Source organism: Homo sapiens, chromosome 16 (assembly GCF_000001405.40).
Source record: "Homo sapiens chromosome 16, GRCh38.p14 Primary Assembly".
In the NCBI taxonomy this organism is placed as follows: Eukaryota; Metazoa; Chordata; class Mammalia; order Primates; family Hominidae; genus Homo; species Homo sapiens.
The window spans coordinates 3,134,993-3,152,156 of record NC_000016.10 but is presented as its reverse complement, the minus strand read 5'-3'; the positions used below and the strand labels follow the sequence as shown (position 1 = coordinate 3,152,156).

The window sequence follows — 17,164 nt, the reverse complement described above, 5'->3', positions numbered from 1 at the left end:
CTTCGTAAACCACTGAAACATCAAAAAAAATTAAAGGAGAAAGTGACACCCTGCACGACGCCAGGTCACCAGCGTCCGCCGACCGGAGGCCATGCCTGCAGCTGCGACTCTCCGCAGCCTTCACCCCGTGGAAGGATACCCCACCCCGTGGAAGGATACCCCAAGAGGCGCTGCTCGGCACCCGGACTAAACTCGGGTTCCGCTGGTAGACATTTTTTTTCCCCTCGGCGAAATATTAACTCAATCCTGGAGATACTCTTTGAATTTTATTTTATTTTATTTTATTTTATTTTATTTTATTTTATTTTATTTTATTTTATTTATTTTCTATTTTGAGACGGAGTCTCGCTCTGTCGCCCAGGCTGGAGTGCAGTGGCGCGATCTTGGCTCACTGCAGCCTCCGGCCTCCCGGGTTCAAGCGATTCTCCTGCCTCAGCCTCCTGAGTAGCTGGGAGTACAGGCGCGCGCCACCACGTCCCGCTAATTTTTGTATTTTTAGTAGAAACGGGGTTTTACCATGTGAGTCAGGCTGGTCTGGAACTCCCGACCTCATGATTCGCCCGCCTCGACCTCCCAAAGTGCTGGGATTAGAGGCGTGAGCCACCGCGCCCGGCTCATCACCACTATAATCGTTTTCTTTTTTACTTTGTTACCCCATGATCAGTTGATACAAAGTTTTTCATCACAATAATCAATTAAACTACACATGTCGCCGGGCGCGGTGGCTCACGCCTGTAAGCCCAGCACTTTGGGAGACCGAGGCTGGACGATCACCTGAGGTCGGGAGTTCGAGACCAGCCTGGCCAACATGGAGAACCCACCCCCGCCCACCCCCCCACCCTACTAAAAATACAAAAATTAGCCGGGCCTGGTGGCGCATGCCTGTAATCCCAGCTACTCGGAAGGCTGAGGCAGGAGAATCGTTTGAACCCGGGAGGCGGAGGTTGCAGTGAGCGGAGATCAAGACATTGCACTCCAGCCTAGGCAACAAGAGCGAAACTCCGTCTCAAAAAAAAAACAAAAACAAAAACAAAAAACTACAGGTGTCCTTTGATCCCTTGGGGCAACTCCTCACAGCAAGCAATCCCAGCCCCGCGTCTGTCACGGTTTCCATCACCTGAACGTTAATTTGTGAAGTCAATCCCCTACCAGATCCCAGGACCTGCGTTCTCTGGCTTCAAGCTCCGCAGTCCGCCAGGGCCCTGCCGGCGTTCTCTAAGTCGCCCTCGCTGCTATTCTGGCCCTGGGTCCTTAGCTTCGCGACTGGAGGCGCAGGGCGAGGTCCCAGTGTTCCTACGGGGGTGAGGGGAGAGCGACCGGCGCACTCAGTTCGAGTGTCGTAGTCGCCCAGGGTGCAGTCCCAGGTGAAGAAATTTTAAGTGGAGCTGGAAGAAAACGTTAACATGGCAACGACCACGAAGGGACTCGAACCCTCAATCTTCTGATCCGGAATCAGACGCCTTATCCATTAGGCCACGCGGCCCTGCGGCTGTATGGCTCCCAGCTATTCTCATAAAGCTTTCTATAGCCTATGCTGTCGCTTTAACGCGCATGCTTAGAGTGAGGGGAGGCCGGTCCTTCCGAGGCTCCCGGTGGGCGGGACTCCGAGCTGGGCCACCGCGCCGGGCCGCTGAGGCTGCTGGGTGGAAACCGCCGCCGCGGGCCCGGGACTGTGAGTTCGAGCCCTGGCGAGCCCGCCCTACCCCACCCTCCCCGCAGCAGGCCCCTCCGAGACGCCGTTTGGGAGCGCTTTCCCCCATGTGCCTCCCGCCGCTTTGGGTCAGGGGCTGCAAGCTGCTTGCCCAGCCCCTGTGCTTGCTCCATCACGGTGAACCTGCAAAGGTGTGTTTCAGAGGCTTTTGGCCCCAGACTTTATTCTGGCCGCCTGGAAAGCGGAGGCCGTGTCTCCTGAGTTTCTATGGCCCAGCGCGGGGTGGAGGTGGGGCGCGCATACACAGGGACATGTCTGGGAGAGGGATATGCGTCCTCTTCCTGGGACCCCTCTCCCCCTGGACGCTCCCATAACCGAACTGCCAACCCAGCCCAGCCCAGTCCAGCCCATGTTGGGTTCCTAAGTCCCGGAAGCTGGGCACAGGCCCCAACTCGGTTCCCATGGACACTATTGCGTCCATATGCAGTGCCAGGCGCTTTACACACATTATCTCACTTATTTCACACGTCCTTGAGAACAGGCACTGTTCACGGCAGATATTTATTGCACGGCCACCCCCACGCTGCCACGCCTCGCTCTCAGATGAGGAAACCGGGGGGATGGGGGGTGGATGGAGGCAAGAATGGCGCTGGGATCTGGCCACCGTCTCAGCAGCGCCCCCGTGGCCGCCGCACCCTCAGGCCTGGAGGCAGAGCCGGCGCCGGAGCGAGCTGCGGATCTCCAGGCAGGCCTTGCGGAGTTCATCGCAGTCGGGGCCCAGCACCTCCTGCTCGCACACCCGCCTGTTGACCTGAGGACCACACCCAGCCTGCGCCCGGGGTTACAGCCCTCCGGGGCTCAGCCTGCCCCAGGGGAGAGCCCCTGGCTTGGTACATTGCAAGGCCTAAAATTTCAAGGACTGCCTGGACATCTTTGAGGCTCGCAGAGCTCCAGAGGCCTAACGGTGAATTCCTCTGCTCTGGCCAGACATGTCCCCACCCAGCAGGACAGGCTCCCACCCCCTAGGTCCCCTCTCAGCAGACCAGCTGCACCCCACCTGGTCGTCACCCTAATGGACTTCAGCCCCCTGACAGGCCTTGGAAATATTCAAACCAACCAACCACATCTGCCCGTGGGAACCAGGGGGCATCTCACTCTCTTGTCACTACAAAGCCAGCTTCCCACTGGCCCTGCAGGTTCACCCTGCTCTGAGCACAAGCCCAGGTGGCCCCGCATGACATGCAGTGTCCTCCTCCCCACCCGACTGCAGTACGTGTGACTAAGAACTGCAGTGGATGGCATCTGTGCAGCGTCGGCCATCCTGCGTTTGGTTATCTTGTAGTATTGAGGGCAGAGGATCCCTCCTTCGCCAATGGAGTTCATAGGAGGTGATCAGAATACCAGGGCTGGGGAGAAGGGCAAACCCAGCTCCTTGCCACTTGTCACCCTGGAACCCCCCAACACACCTCAGTCAGCAGCTCCAGAAGGTCTCTCCCGGGGTTGGCTCTGAGGACCTCCACCAGTGTCTGGATAAAGTCTGAGCCCTTGTCATCGCGATAGGCCACATAGCCTAGGTCAGGGGATCAGGGCCAGAGCATCAGACCAAGGCCCCAACCCTCTGCCTTCCAATCCCAGGGGTCCTATTGTTGGTGGAAAGTGGGGTACAAGGAGGCAGGACCCAGGAATCAGGCAAGAGAACAGGGCAGGGAGCAGGGACTTCTTGCATCTGGAACAAGTTGTTGCTAGGTATTTGCAGAGGTGAGCCTATGGAGAGATTCACTACTGAACAAACATTTACTGTGCACCTACTATGTGCCAGACACTGAGCAGGGCCTTGGGGCAGGCAGGTCTACCCTGGCCTCGTGGAACTCACAGCCTAGAGGAAACCTGCACACACAGTGGTTGGCACAGCTGCGCCTCACAGCACTCACCATCACTGCTGTTACTACACATCCTAACCCATGTAGGGAACATGGCTGGACCACAGCTGGGCTGGCATCTCTGTGCCCCAACCCTAAGCCCTAGCTGCCCCTAAGGCTACTCCAGATCTTAGGCCAGGAAGCTGGGCCCTGTGTAACCACAGGCTCCCGATGACCCATCTCCTTACCCTCTGCGGCTGAGTAGACCGTCAGGATGTCTGCTTGGTCAGAGCTCCCTGGAGGGGTGCCCCTGCAGGAGCTGCCTGCAAGAGGAATCAATTCCAGTGATCAACATCGTGGAACTCCATCAGCCCCGGGAGCTCCCCATCTGTGGCTTAAGGGCAGCCCAGGGAGGTGGAAAGAGTGCAGGGCAGGAATGACAGACGGAAGTTCAAAGCTCGGCCCAGCCACTTAACAGCTGTGACCTCAGAAAAGCTATTTGACCTTACCGACTCCAGGGTTCTTGCCAGGCTCCAACAGGGGAAGAAGCTCCCACTTCCCAAAGGCCCTTGCGGTTTAGGAAGATTTTTTTTCTTCCCATTGTCTTGGCAAACAGAGGATGCAGGTGGCAGCCATACCCCAGCTTAGAGCCCTGGAGATGCTCTCTGGACGGTCCCCACAACCAGCCCTGCCCAAGCCCAGGCCCTGGAAGGAAGGCAGAACCCACCTTGGGCCTCAGCGTAGATCTGCAGGACATCTGCATGGGAGGGGACAGATGGAGGTGCCCGCAGCCAGCTCCAGTACCAGGGGAGAGCTGTGGGCCCCACACCAGCATCCCTGTTTCCTGAAGAGGGTGGGGAGAGGCAGATAGTCTCACTCCGGGGATACCTGGGGGTGCTCAGGGGTCTAGTGTGAATGTGGGGTCAAGGTGAGAACCCAACTCCAGAGCTCCAGGGCAGGCTTGCCAGACTGGAGACATTCAGAGCGCTGAATGACAGGTGTTGAGAGTTAAGGGTTCAAGGTCGTGGACTTGACCTCTAGGAGAGGACAGGAGAGGGGGCAGGGAAGGGCAGGTACCCGGGCTCCCTGGAGAAGGTAGACAGTGAGTCCCGGGGGCTGAAGCTTGGCCGAGGAAAGTGAGGGCAGTAGGAGGCCGGGCCGCTCACCCCCACGGCAGGCCTGCAACAGGAAGATCTTGGGGCGGCCCTGCAGCACCTGGCAGCGGCTCAGCTCCTGCATGAGTGCCTCGGGCTGCACCTCTTGCCCGTCAGCCCCCAGCAGCTGACCCCGTGGTCCCCCATGGGCCATCAGGGCCACAAGGGCACAGCTCACAGGGCCCCTGCAGGTGTCCAGTTGCTCCCGGAACTGGGCCAGCTCCTCCTGGAAAGCCTGGGGTGGGAACAATGTTGAGGCCTGGGCCAAAGCCACCGCCTCCCCAGCCACTGGCTGCCCTCTGTGAGGCTGACAAGGTTTCCCAGACCCTGCCCCACCTGGCCTCCCACCGCCTGCCACTCACAGGTCCAGGGAGGAAGCCCTCTTTTTTTTTTTTTTTTTTTTTGGGAAGGAGTCTTGCTCTGTCACCCAGGCTGGAGTGCAGTGGCGCGATCTCGGCTCACTGCTATCTCTGCCTCCTGGGTTCAAGCGATTCTCCTGCCTCAGCCTCCTGAGTAGCTGGGAATACAGGTACATGCCACCACACCCGGCTAATTTTTTGTATTTTTAGTAGAGATGAGGTTTCGCTGTGTTAGCCAGAATGGTCTCGATCTCCTGACGTCGTGATCCGCTTGTCTCGGCCTCCCAAAGTGCTGGGATTACAGGCGTGAGCCACTGTGCCCGGCCTGTTTTTGTTTTTTGAGACAGAGTCTTGCTCTGTCGCCCAGGCTGGAGTGCAGTGGCACAATCTCAGCTCACTGCAACCTCGGCCTCCTGGGTTCAAGCCATTCTCCTGCCTCAGCCTCCCAAGTAGCTGGGATTACAGGCACGCACCACCATGCCCTACTAATTTTGTCTATATAGTAGAGACGAGGTTTCACCATGGTAGTCAGGCTGGTCTCAAACTCCTAATCTCAAGTGATCCACCCGTCTCAGCCTCCTAAAGCGTTGGGATTACAGGCGTGAGCCACTGCACCCGGCCAGAAGCCCTTTTCTAACTCCCTCCTGCAAGGCCTTGGCATGGCCTCTTTAGAGGTGACATAGAGACCCAGCTTCCTGGAGCCAGTTCTCCTCCTGCCCTCGTGGGGAAGCCGCACCAAGAAGTTGAGAGGTGTGAGGAGAGTGGAGTGGGCTGCTGGGAGCCAAGAGGGAAACCAAGACTTGGAGCTAAAGCTTTGAGCTGGGGAGGGGGCGGGGGGGCCAGAGAACCAGCCAGTGAGGAAGGCCTCGGGGACCCTGGAGACCAGGCTTCCAGAGGCAGGGAAGTGACGGGCCAGATGCAGGCAACAGGGAGCACAGAGGTTAGACTTGTGGTGCACTTCCTGCCAGTGATGGAGAGAGGCCCCAGGTTTCTAGGGAGGGGTGGTCTTCCTTCAGAGCACCAGTGGAAGTTCTCGGCTTCCCCTCACCTGGGCTGTAGGGTCCGTTCTCACGGTGGTCTCAAAGCCCAGGGCCCAGCACAGGCCCCCCAGCGCCTCCACGTCATGCTGGGCCCCAGGCCGGCCTTGGATCACAGCCAGGAGGAGGGCAGCCCTGGCCTTGGACAGGTCATACTGTGTGCTGGGACCGGGGGCCGGCTGCAGAGAGGGTTAAGACACATCTAAAGTGGCCTGAGAGGACTCCAGCTCCTGGCCTCCCCGGCCGGGGCCCCCCCTAAGCTTCTGTCCCACTGGAAACTGTGGCCATGTGATTGGATCCCTGCCCTGCCCCCCTCACCTCAGGCCTCCAGGGCTCCACGCCTCCCAGGCACAGTGCCCCCCTCAAGGAGCTCCGAAGGACGGGGCAGCAGGTGCCCCCTGCGGACTCTTCAGCCACCCTGCGGAAGAGCTGGGGATGGGGCCGAGAAAAGACTCAGCCAGGCTTGTGGCTTCTATAGTCTCTTCAGGGTCACCTGCCAGAATGCAGACAGGAGGAGGCCAGCAAAGGACAGACAGGCAGGATGGCCTCAAGCAGGGCCCAGGCTCCAGTTCAGGCTCAAGGTTATGGACTTCCCTGGGCATGGATGGCCTCGAGTGGACAGTGGCCACACCATTAACCCCTGCCCCGGGATCAGTGCGCAGAGAGGTGGGGATGTTCCCTAGAGCGGGGCTGGGCCTGTCGGGAAGACTCACGGGGTGGGCACTACCCTGCTGGGCGATCTGTGGAGGAGAGCTGGGGCCCCCTCATCCCCAGGGCTGCCCAGGGGCCACCCAACTACACAGTGAGACCTTCAGCCTTGGAGACCAGACTTGAAGCATTCCCAGTCCCAGCCTCCAGGGTCCTGCGATCTAACAGGGCGGACAGCCACTGCTTGGTGTAGAAAGGGGCAGCCTGAAGTGCAAGCGTGGATGCAAGGAAGGGCATCGCTGGCAGCCTGCAGAGGACTGTGCAGGGCTCCCGGGACAACAGGAAGGCATAGCAGGCAGAGGGAACTGCTTGGGCCAAGGCATGGAGCTGGGAGGAGTCGAGTGTCGGGGATCCTGAGTGGGTTGTCAGGGGTCCCGAGTTGAGGGTGAGGGGCTGAGACCACTTCTGTAGAAAATAAAGGAGGTTTGTAGAATGAATCGGAGGGAGGATACAAGTGAATGAATCTAACTGTAACTGGCTTAGGGGGGCACAGCAGAACCAGCGGAGACAGCAGGACCAGCCCCGCTTCCCTGGGCCTCCCCCTCCAGCGTCCCCACCTTCGTCAGCAGCTGCACCAGGGACCAGTGAGGAGAGCGGCCACACAGCTCTCTCAGGCCAGCAAGGAAGGCTCCGGGCTCCAGGGAGGCTGGGTAGAGAAGCAGCATGTTGGCCTGCAGTGAGGCCCGAGGCTCTGCCCCTGGGTCCCTGCCCAGCTCCTGGATCCTGACCCAGCTCACTCACACCCAGGACCACTTGAGAGCAGCAGGAAGACTTTGGGGCAGCCCCGCAGGGCCCGGCAGCCGCTCAGCTCCCGGACCAGCTGCTGTGGCTGCCTCAGCTGCCCTCTGGGGGCATCAAGGCCACTAAGGCACACCCCACAGGGCGCCCGTGGGCATCCAGCTGCTCCTGGAACCAAGCCAGTTCCTCGAGGAAGCCCTAGGGGCAAGAGTGAGACCGACCTGAGTCCGGGGAGGTTTTGGGTGGGGAGGAGATTCTGGGTCAGGGGAGAGTGGGGAAGGGGTCGGTGCTGGGCCTGAGGGTGGATGTAAGAGGCAGAGGCTCACCTGGACCGGGACCTCCCTCCTCTCGCAGCTCTCAAAGCCCAGGGCCTGGAACACGTCCTCCAGGGCAGTGACTACAGCGGCCGCCACCCCAGGGCTGCTGAGCATCAGGGCTGCCCTTGGACCCTGGACGTCATACTTCCCCTGGGGAGGCAAGGCCAGAGCTGGGCTGGGCTGGGCTGGGCTGGGGCTCAGCAGGGAGGCAGGAGCAGCTGGGCTAGGCGGTGCCTCCTGCTACCTTTCTCCCCAGGCTGTCTCGAGTGTCTGCCATCTGCGTGGCCAGCCGCAGGGTCCCAGCCACCAGGAAGGCCATAGGGCGAGACGGGGCTTCCTCCAAGCACCAAGCTCGGAGCTCACCTCCTGGCCCTGGGCTCTCAGTGCCCTGGGTCCTAACCCTTGCCCTCTACCCTAACGAGTACTATCAGCTCTGCTTATGAGCTGAGCTGGACTCTGCCCCATCCCTGGAACCCTGGGTCCTGGCCCCGCTCTCCCAGCCTGGGCTTCATTCTCTGGCTCCTGCTGGTGACTTCTTTGCTGGCACTGACATGCCCCTACCCGAGCCAGGAACCTGTGCTCAATCCTATTCTTAGCTCCTGGCCTACGTGCTTATCTGATCTCGTTACACCCGAGTGTCTCCATTTGGAGCCAGCCACCGCCACCAAGAAGTCCTTGTACCATCCCGGCCACCCGCCACACGCATGCACACAGCACCAGGCCCCCAGAGGTAAAAATCACCAACTGGAATCAGCCTTGTCCACAGCGAGACCTTGCTTGCTTCTTACGGGAAACGGAGACCATGACAGTGACCGCAGGATGATGTGTGCATGGAAGGTTGGCTAAGAAAGGCCTAGGGGCAGAGAGGGCTGGCACATGCACACCTGTTACCAAGGGACCAGAGCGTCTTGTCCACCGGCCCCCGCCTCCCCTCAGCCAGGGGCCCTGAGGCCACTAGCAGGTGAAAGAGAAGGAACCAGCATGGGTGGAAGGAGGGGTCGTGCCTGGATGATCACTAGTTTTGACCACGCACCCACCAGCCCTTGGTGGGTCCCGGCCTGGGGCTCCTGGTAGGGAGAAGTTGGATGTCAGGGGCTGGTGGGAAGGGCAAGCCCGCTGTCAGCCCCTCCTCCAAGGGACTCAGCCTGGGGCAGCCTTGAGTTCCAGATCCCCAACACGCAGCAAGAGGGTCCCACCACTGACCAAGCAGCGTCTATGGGCCCTTCTTCCTTTCACAGTTGTGGGAGAGGAGTGGCCTGGTGAAGACCCTGAGTCCTGCTCAGCTCCCCGTTCTGCTGGAGCACCGACGGTGCTCCCAGAGCAGGGCAGGCACTAGCTGACACAGGGGGACAAGAGTCCCAGGGGACACGGCTGCCCATTGGGGCCCAGCCGACCTGGACGCCAAGGACGCAGCTCCGCCTGGTCACGGTGCAGCAGCATGTGCCACCAGGACACAAGGCCAGGGCAAGGGGCATATATTCCAGGTATCCCCACCCTCCAGCTACCGAAAGAACAGAACAGCCTGGAGGTAAGTTTTCACGTTTATTAATACTCTTCTGTTGCCCTTTGGAGGTCTGAGGGGGAGTCCTTGCAGGGCCTCTGGTCTGTCCCTGTTCATGGAAGGCAGTGCTCAGGAGGCAGCAGCAAAGTGCCAATGAAGCAGGGCGTTAGTGCCGATGGAGCAGGGAGCCAGTACCGGTGGAGCTGGGCGTTGGTGCCAATGGAGCGAGGCACTGGTGCCGGTGGAGCGGGGCGTTAGTGCCGATGGAATGGGGCACCAGTGCCGTTGGAGCTGGACGTAGTGATGATGGAGCAGGGTGGTAGTGCCGACGGAGCTGGACATAGTGATGATGGAGCGGGGTGGTAGTGCCGATGGAGCCGGACGTTAGTGACAATGGAGTGGGACACCAGTGCCGATGGAGCAGGGCGTTAGTGCTGATGGAGTGGGGCACCAATGTCAAAGGAGCGGGTCATTAGTGCCGCTGGAGTTGGGGCGTTAGTGCCAATGGAGTGGAGCATTAGTGCTGATGGAGTGGGGCGCCGAGTGGGGCATTAGTGCCGATGGAGCGGGGCCGATGGAGTGGGGCGCCGAGTGGAGCATTAGTGCCGATGGAGCAGGGCGCCAGTGCCGATGGAGCAGGGTGCCGGGGCCGATGGAGTGAGGTGCTAGTGCTGATGGAGTGAGGTGCTAGTGCTGATGGAGTGCTAGTGCTGAGTCTGGTGCAGCCCCACCTCTGGAGGAAAAGATGGCAGCCAGGCGCCCTGTTCTTGGTCTCCAGGGTTGGCCTCCTGTCGCTGGAGCCACCATTATCCTCACCAGATTGGTGGGCAGGTGGCTCTCAGAGCCTCATGCTAGGGCAAGTAGGCCGAGGGCAAAGGCAGGCCGAGTCCGTATGGCCAGGACAGGGCAGAGTGGTCATGGCCTGGAAACGGGAGTGGGAGGGGGCCAGAAAGCCCCTGCCGCCGTGACTAAGACCCGCGGTCCCACAGGTGTGGGCTGTCTCTCCCAAAGTCCAGCAGCCCCCTGGGGGGCCAAGGCCAGTCCTCCACGCCCACTGAAAGGCACAGGTTGGTAGGGCAGAGGCCTGACCCATGGACCCACCCCACAGGGTGGGGGCCAAAGAGCCACACAGTCAAATGAGGCTCGGGGGCTTCTGGGAAGGGACCTAGACCTGAGTCCTTGCCACCCTGCTGTCCCTGCCAGGAATGTGTTGGGGCTCCAGGAAACTAGAGGGGAAGAGGAACGCTAGGCGCAGAAGGGGGAAAGAGGACAAGATCGGGGGCGGGAGGGGAAGGCTTCCGTTCCCTTTGAGCGCTGGGCAGGTCCTCAGAGCCAAGCAGGGCAGGCGAGCTCCGAGTGTGAGGTACCCTGGGGTCCCTCGGACAGCCCGGGAGGTGGCCACAGATGGAAGGAGAGTCCCAGTGGTGAACAAAGCAGGATGTGCCGTGGCTGGGCCTCCCCCGGGTTTCCGGCCAAGCCAGCTGCTCACCCCACGGGCTGGGCCATCTTGGCGTGCAGGCTCTGATGCGCGATGAGGTGCGCGCGCTGCTTGAAGCTCTTGTCGCACTCTCCGCAGCCGAAGGGCCGCTCACCGGTGTGCACACGCCGATGGTCCAGCAGGTAGGAGCGCAGCGAGAAGCTCTTGCCGCAGTCGCTGCAGCCGAAAGGCTTCTCGCCCGTGTGTATGCGCTGGTGGTCGGCCAGGTAGGCGCTGCGGCTGAAGCTCTTGCCGCACTCGGAACAGGAGAAGGGCTTCTCGCCCGTGTGCACGCCTTGGTGGCGCACCAGGTCCGAGGAGCTGCGGAAGCTCTTGTCGCACTCAGGGCACTTGTGTGGCTTCTCGCCCGTGTGCGTGCGCTGGTGCCGCGCCAGGTCCGAGCCCCAGCGGAAGCGCTTTCCACACTGCCCGCAGCTGTGCGGCTTCTCGGCTGCCAGGTCCCGGAACTGGCGCCGGCGAGTGGGTGGCCGCCCCCGTCGCGCGCCCACCACTGGGCCCAGGGCCGCCCTCGGCCGGTTCTCGCTCTCCCAGGCCTCAGCCTCCTCGGGGCTCCAGGACACAGTCACGTCGCTGCCTGTCTGGCCTGGCACCACCGGCACCATCTCCTGCAGCAGGGACTTCTCACTTTGGCCTTTGAGCCCAAAACCTGCAAGGGGAAGGAGGCGACCTCTTCAGTCCCACGCGGTTCTGGGGCCAGAGCTGAGGTGAGGAAGAAACAAGGCTGGGGAAAGCTCCCTGGCCTCCAGGTTCAGAAAGCCCTGGGTTCACACAGCTGAATTCTCAGGTTCCTCATCTATAAAACAGGGATGATTGGCCAGGCGCAGTGACTCAAGCCTGTAATCCCAACATTTTGGGAGGCTGAGGCGAGCTGATCACCTGAGGTTAGGAGTTCGAGACCAGCCTGGCCAACATGGTGAAACCCCGTCTCTATTAAAAAATGCAAAAATCAGCAGGGCATGGTGGCGCACATCTGTAATCCCAGCTACTCAGGAGGCTGAGGTAGAAGAATCACTTGAACCCATGAAGCGGAGGTTGCAGTAAGCCGGGATCATGCCATTGCACTCCAAGAGCGAGACTTTGTCTCAAAAACAAACAAAAACCCAAATAAATCAGGGATGATGAAAAAATTCGGCAGAGCAGCAGTCTGAATAAGCCTCTGATCCCGCCTGCATGGGCCAGCCCCCTAAGCCATCTGTGCCCTGCAGGCCACACTGGGATCCAATGTCCCACTCTGAACCCCAGATATCAAGCTCCACAGCAGAACAGATTTATAGTAATTCTGAAACTTTTCAAGGGCCGGGCGCGGTGGCTCACGCCTGTAATCCCAGCACTTTGGGAGGCTGAGGCAGGCGGATCATGAAGTCAGGAGTTCGAGACCAGCCTGACCAACATGGTGAAAACTCGTCTCTATTAAAAATACAAAAAAATTAGCCGGGCATGGTGGCTCATGCCTGTAATCCCAGCTACTCAGGCTGAGGCAGGAGAATTGCTTGAACCCGGGAGGTGGAAGTTTCAGTGAGCTGAGATCACACCACTGCATTCCGGCCTGGCGACAGAGCAAGACTCCATCTCAAAAAAAAAAAAAAGAAAGAAAATTTTTCCCAACCGTCACAGTCGGAAACTGAGGAGCCAAACTGGTCTAGCTAGTGTGGCTCCCTTCACCACGCAGGCTCTAGTTCTCCAAACTCAACACAGATCTGGACAGAGGTCGCAGCCCATCCTCCTGGGAGTGTGACTGAACAAGATGATCCCTGATGGTGCTGAGAAGGGGCCTGGCATGGAGAGGAACCTGGTAAGTGCAGTTCTGACGAGCAGGGGCCCAGGCTGGTGAGCAGCTGGGGTTCCCCGTCAGCACCCCTGCTCCTAGCAGCCCAAGGTGGCCTCACAACTGTGCCTGATCCAAGTCCCAGCTGTGTCCCTTCAGCATCCACTGACCTGAGTCTCAGGTCCCTTATGCGTAAAATGGGGACAATACTTCCATGCACTAGGTTGTGAGACTCAAAGGAGAAGTTGCCCTTAGAGCAACTGCAGGGCTGGGCAGCGCCGGCGCCGTCCCATGCTGCATGTGGAAACGCACAAAAACTGATCATCAGCCAAGAAAGGAGTTACTCAGGCTCCTGGCAAGACCTAGGGAGAGCCTGCTTTGGAACCAGCTAAGGATGGGGTGGGAAACAAGACTGAAGTTCCAGCAGAATCGGGGGCGGCCAGCCTGGACCCAAAGGCCCTGGGTGCTTACCCAGGGTGGTGTTCCGGGAGTTCTCCCGCTTTATGTCCCAGAAGAGATCCCGCTGAGCAGGGTCCAGGGTGCCCCATTCTTCCCGGGAGAAATAGAATGGGATGTCTCCCAATGCCACAGGTCCCTGGAATGGGGTGAGAAGACCCGGCTCAGGCCTCCCAGCAGCACTGGCGGGGACAGGATGGGTCAGATGAAAGAGGCCTGATGGGACAGCAAGTCCCATTTTACAAACTCAACAGGGCCAAGTGCCTTAAAGAAGACAAAGGGACTGGTGACTCACATGGACCCCAGAGACAAAGCAGGTGTCCGTCGTCTCTCCGGGACGACCCTCTTTAAGAAGAGCAGGAGGCTGGGCTGAAGGAGAAGAATGGAGCCTTAGAAAGGCCAGCCCAGGCTTGACACCGACGCCTATGGCCTCCCCAGCCTGTGCGCATGCACACACGCCCTGGACTTCACAGAGGGAGCTGTCCTGCCTGTGACCCTTAGGGCAACGCCGGTGACAAAGCTAGGTCCCTGCCCAGCCACTCGACTGTCCACAAGAACGGAGGCTTACTCACCGCTATGGCTGTGCTGCTCCTGGGGAACAGACGGCCGCCTCCGTGCCCCCACCGTCGGGGGAGGCCCCGTGGCCTGGGATCCCCGGCCTGCAGCCTCGGGTTCCGCCTCCTCCGAGGGCACATCCTGTGCAGGAACCACAACATGCTCATCAGCCCGAGACCAGACCGGGGGAGACAGAGTTTACTCCCTGGGAAGGAGACACAGGACATGACCCTCAGGATGCTGGGGTGTGGGAAGGAGACCAATATGGTGCCCCAGGAAAAGTCCGGAGGAGAATGTGATACCAGGTAATGCTGTGTGCCCAAGGATGCTCCCCGATCATTCACGAGGCAAGAACCAGCCCTGAAAGGCCAGAATCACAGCCACTTAGCAAGGGGGTAGCTGGGGACCCTCCTGCCAAAGGCAGAACCCCATCCCCCAGCCACTCATTAGAACCTCCCCAGATGCATCCAATGTGAAGGACCCAACATCCCACAAGGTAGCAGAGGCCCCGGACAGCTCCACCTTCTCGCCCCACTCTGGAGCTGGCTCTATGCACACCCTTGTGTCCCCAGAGCCAGGCCTAGAGCAAAATGCAAATAAACATCAGCAGACCCTGCATGGAGCTAAAACCTCCTGTCTGGAACATTCGCACTTCAGCCCTATTGCTGCCTTCCAAAGCCACAAAAAATAAATCACATTTACTTTGGATCGCATCTTTCAGAAAGGCACCCATGGCACACTGTGCTTGTGTGCCTGCTCCTGGGGGCTCTGTGTCTCCCCTACCCTGTGAGCCTCTGGGAGACTTATCTCTGCAGGTTACCCACTTCTCTCGAGCTCAGATACCATCCAGGTGCCCCTGGATGTGGAAGGGCCCCTCACCTGTCGCCAGGCTTTCACTGGCTGCTTCTGTAGGTCCTCCACCAAGGCGACAGCCTCCTCACCGCTTCCCGGGTGCTGCTCACGCACCCAGCCCTGGATCTCCCCTGGCAGCACTGTCAGGAACTGCTCCAGCACCAGCAGCTCCAGGATCTGCTCCTTGGTACGCAGCTCGGGCCGCAGCCAGCGGCAGCAGAGCTCCCAGAGCTGGCTGAAGGCCTCATGAGGCCCATGCACATCCCCGTAGCAGAATTGCCGGAAGCGCTGGCGGCAGGCTTCGGAATCCCTGCCATCCTCATGCTGGGCAGATTCCTGTTCCCAGGAGGAATCTTCCACTTTCACAATCAGAAGCCCTTCTCCCTCCCCAGGGGCCTGGTCCTGGGCCTCCAAGGGGGCTGCCATTCCCCTGGCCTGAGGCTCAGGGTTGGTCGGCTTCAACCTGGGCCCCAGAACCTGTACTTTCAGTCTCCCAGAGGGATCCCCTGTGGTAGCTGGGCTGGCATCTGGATGTGTACTCCTGGGGAAAGAGCAAAATGGCAGGACTGAGGAGGAAGGATGTGGAATACACGAGCAAACCCCAGGCTGAAGAGCCATCCAGTCCCCATCCTTTCATGGCCCTGAAGCCTTTTCTAGGCTTTACTGTAATGCCTTGCTCATGTGACTGTCTCTCCTATTAACACAGGCCCACAAGCTCTCATCCCAAAGCCAGAAATCCAAAACCCGGGTGTTTCATAACTCTTTGACAGCAAAACCCAATGTCATTCATTTGGCAGCACCACCTGACCTGATATAAGCATATTTATAATCTCAATTTATTCCACTAAATGTAAATGTTCAAAATTATGGTGGAAATATTAATAACATATATCTTCAGTTTATAAAATTTCATTGAGCTATACCCACTCGTGTGTTTTTCTGTATTGCACATTATACATCAATTAAATATCTTTTTTTTTTTTTTTTACTGAGAGAGAGTCTCACTCTGTCGCCCAGGCTGGAGTGCAGTGGCGCAATCTCAGTTCACTGCAACCTCTGCCTGCCAGGTTCAAGCGATTCTCCTGCTTCAGCCTCCCAAGTAGCTGGGACTACAGGCACCAGCTACCACGTCCAGCTAATTTTTTGTATTTTTAGTAGAGACGAGGTTTCACCATGTTGGCCAGGATGGTCTCAAACTCCTGACCTTGTGATCCACCCGCCTCGGCCTCCTAAAGTGCTGGGATTACAGGCGTGAGCCACTGCGCCCGGCCTAATTAAAAAATTTTAACTGATATGTTTCATTATTTAGTGTTGCCCCAGATCCCTCTGGAGATGTGCTTGATATATCGTCTGTGCACTATATTATCTTTCTCAAATTTGAAAACCTCTGAATTCCAAAACACATCTGGCCCTGAGGTGTCACAGAAGGGCTTACAGACACCATCCAAAGCCATTTATCCACAGGTACATATAAATGTATGACACATTTATACCTTACATTGTTACTCTCTACTGAAAAGTGTATTATGCAATTTTCAGTAATCGATTTTTTGTTTCAACAATAAAAATACAAACTGGCCGGGCTTGGTGGCTTATGCCTGTAATCCCAGCATTTTGGGAGACAGACACAGGATGATTGCTTGAGGCCAGGGGTTCAAGACCCCTTTGGGAAGACAATGTGAGACGCCATCTGTACCAAAAAACAAAAAAAGCCAGGTGGGGCTCCTGTAGTCCCAGCTACTGGGGAGGCTGAGGAGGAAAGATTGCTTGAGTCCAGGAGTTTGAGGTTGCAATGAGCTATGATCGCACCACTGTACTCCAGCCTGGGCAACAGAGTGAGACCATCTCAAAAAAAAAAAAAAAAGAAAGAAAAGAAAAGTAAAAAGAAAATGAAAAAAATACAAACCATCTTAATAAAAAAGGGAAGATTCAAACAATATAGAAATCTGTAAAACTCTCCCTTCCTCAATACCATTGTACCCCCCGACTTAACAGTCTGACAAATGACGTCCCAGACCTTTTCCTGTGCTTTTACTAAAAAAGTCATCCATAGCGGGGAGAAAAGGTGCTTGATGTGTTTCTACATAAATGAGACCTTACTGCACAGACATTAGCGGCACTATGAGCTTCCGCGGTATGGATATGCTCTAGTTTCTTAATCAATACTCGAGTGATGCATTCGGGTTGTTTCCAATTCTTTAGTCCATCCTAAGCACTTTATTTATTCTGCTCCTCACAAGACCCCTGAAAGGTGCGCGCACCATTCTCATCCTCTGGTGACTTCGAAGAAGACTTTCCTCGAAGAGGGCCAGGACTCACCAGGGTCGCTCAGCAGGACACGGCAGGCGGGAAGGCGAGCCAGCCGGAGCCCCGCGCTGTCCACCGCAGCCTCGCCCGCGGGGCGAGCGGCGATCGTACAGGGGCGTCTGCCGGGGGACCAAGCTGGCAGAGCGGCGCGGGGGACCAGCACTTCCTAGCAGTGCGCGCGCCCTCCGGCCTCTGCCTCGGGGCGCTGATCCCGGCCACTCGGAGCCCGGTGCTTGATGTTGGAGCCAGGCGGCCAGAGGCCCCGTCCCCGCCCCGGCCCCCGCCCCCGCCCCCGCCCCCGAAACACACAACGCCCACTACGGCCCAGGAGATCCCACTTCCGCCGCGAGCTCCCGGCGCCGGAAGTCCTCGCGGGGCTCGCTGGGAAACTACGCTACGCAAGCATT

General features: G+C 58.5%; 1 protein-coding gene, 1 non-coding gene and 1 pseudogene across 8 annotated transcripts, besides 4 other annotated features; all 3 read right to left on the bottom strand.

Annotated features, from left to right (window-relative positions):
* On the bottom strand, nt 1,411-1,483 carry TRR-CCG1-3 (tRNA-Arg (anticodon CCG) 1-3). Its single transcript has one exon. It is a non-coding gene; the product is annotated as a tRNA-Arg (tRNA).
* Nucleotides 1,411-1,760: a silencer, noted in NCBI's record as "silent region_7120". NCBI's record gives its function as "represses an Ori minimal core promoter by ATAC-STARR-seq in GM12878 lymphoblastoid cells {active_cell/tissue: GM12878}" and the evidence as "EXISTENCE:reporter gene assay evidence [ECO:0000049][PMID:35858748]".
* On the bottom strand, nt 2,211-7,866 carry CASP16P (caspase 16, pseudogene; annotated as a pseudogene). The gene is made up of 10 exons (NR_132322.1): nt 7,833-7,866; nt 7,510-7,704; nt 7,326-7,414; nt 6,379-6,489; nt 6,072-6,239; nt 4,677-4,899; nt 4,238-4,354; nt 3,759-3,833; nt 3,118-3,221; nt 2,211-2,462 (listed from the first exon to the last, which is right to left on the bottom strand). The product of NR_132322.1 is annotated as a caspase 16, pseudogene (transcript).
* Nucleotides 2,361-2,410: an enhancer, noted in NCBI's record as "active region_10306". NCBI's record gives its function as "activates an Ori minimal core promoter by ATAC-STARR-seq in GM12878 lymphoblastoid cells {active_cell/tissue: GM12878}" and the evidence as "EXISTENCE:reporter gene assay evidence [ECO:0000049][PMID:35858748]".
* A 1,486-nt stretch (nt 7,867-9,352) lies between the features above and the next one.
* On the bottom strand, nt 9,353-17,128 carry ZNF213 (zinc finger protein 213). Of its 6 annotated transcripts, none has more exons than NR_104432.2 (6): nt 16,770-17,128; nt 14,478-14,991; nt 13,616-13,803; nt 13,339-13,412; nt 13,059-13,182; nt 9,353-11,468 (listed from the first exon to the last, which is right to left on the bottom strand). NR_104432.2 is itself a non-coding variant. In NM_001134655.2 (6 exons), exons 2-6 carry the CDS (start codon nt 14,874-14,876, stop codon nt 10,810-10,812), a joined length of 1,380 nt encoding a protein of 459 aa, NP_001128127.1. In that variant the 5' UTR covers nt 14,877-14,991; nt 16,712-17,128; the 3' UTR covers nt 9,353-10,809. The 6 variants fall into 6 exon arrangements, 5 of the variants coding, with proteins under 5 accessions (NP_001128127.1, XP_011520954.1, NP_004211.1 ...); NM_001134655.2 differs by having other exon boundaries at nt 13,616-13,739; nt 16,712-17,128; XM_011522652.4 differs by having other exon boundaries at nt 9,353-11,521; nt 13,616-13,739.
* Nucleotides 13,193-13,693: an enhancer, noted in NCBI's record as "H3K4me1 hESC enhancer chr16:3188465-3188965 (GRCh37/hg19 assembly coordinates)". NCBI's record gives its function as "activates a minimal SCP1, AML or CMV promoter by ChIP-STARR-seq in naive H9 embryonic stem cells {active_cell/tissue: H9 hESC(naive)}" and the evidence as "EXISTENCE:reporter gene assay evidence [ECO:0000049][PMID:30033119]".
* Nucleotides 16,838-17,067: a silencer, noted in NCBI's record as "silent region_7119". NCBI's record gives its function as "represses an Ori minimal core promoter by ATAC-STARR-seq in GM12878 lymphoblastoid cells {active_cell/tissue: GM12878}" and the evidence as "EXISTENCE:reporter gene assay evidence [ECO:0000049][PMID:35858748]".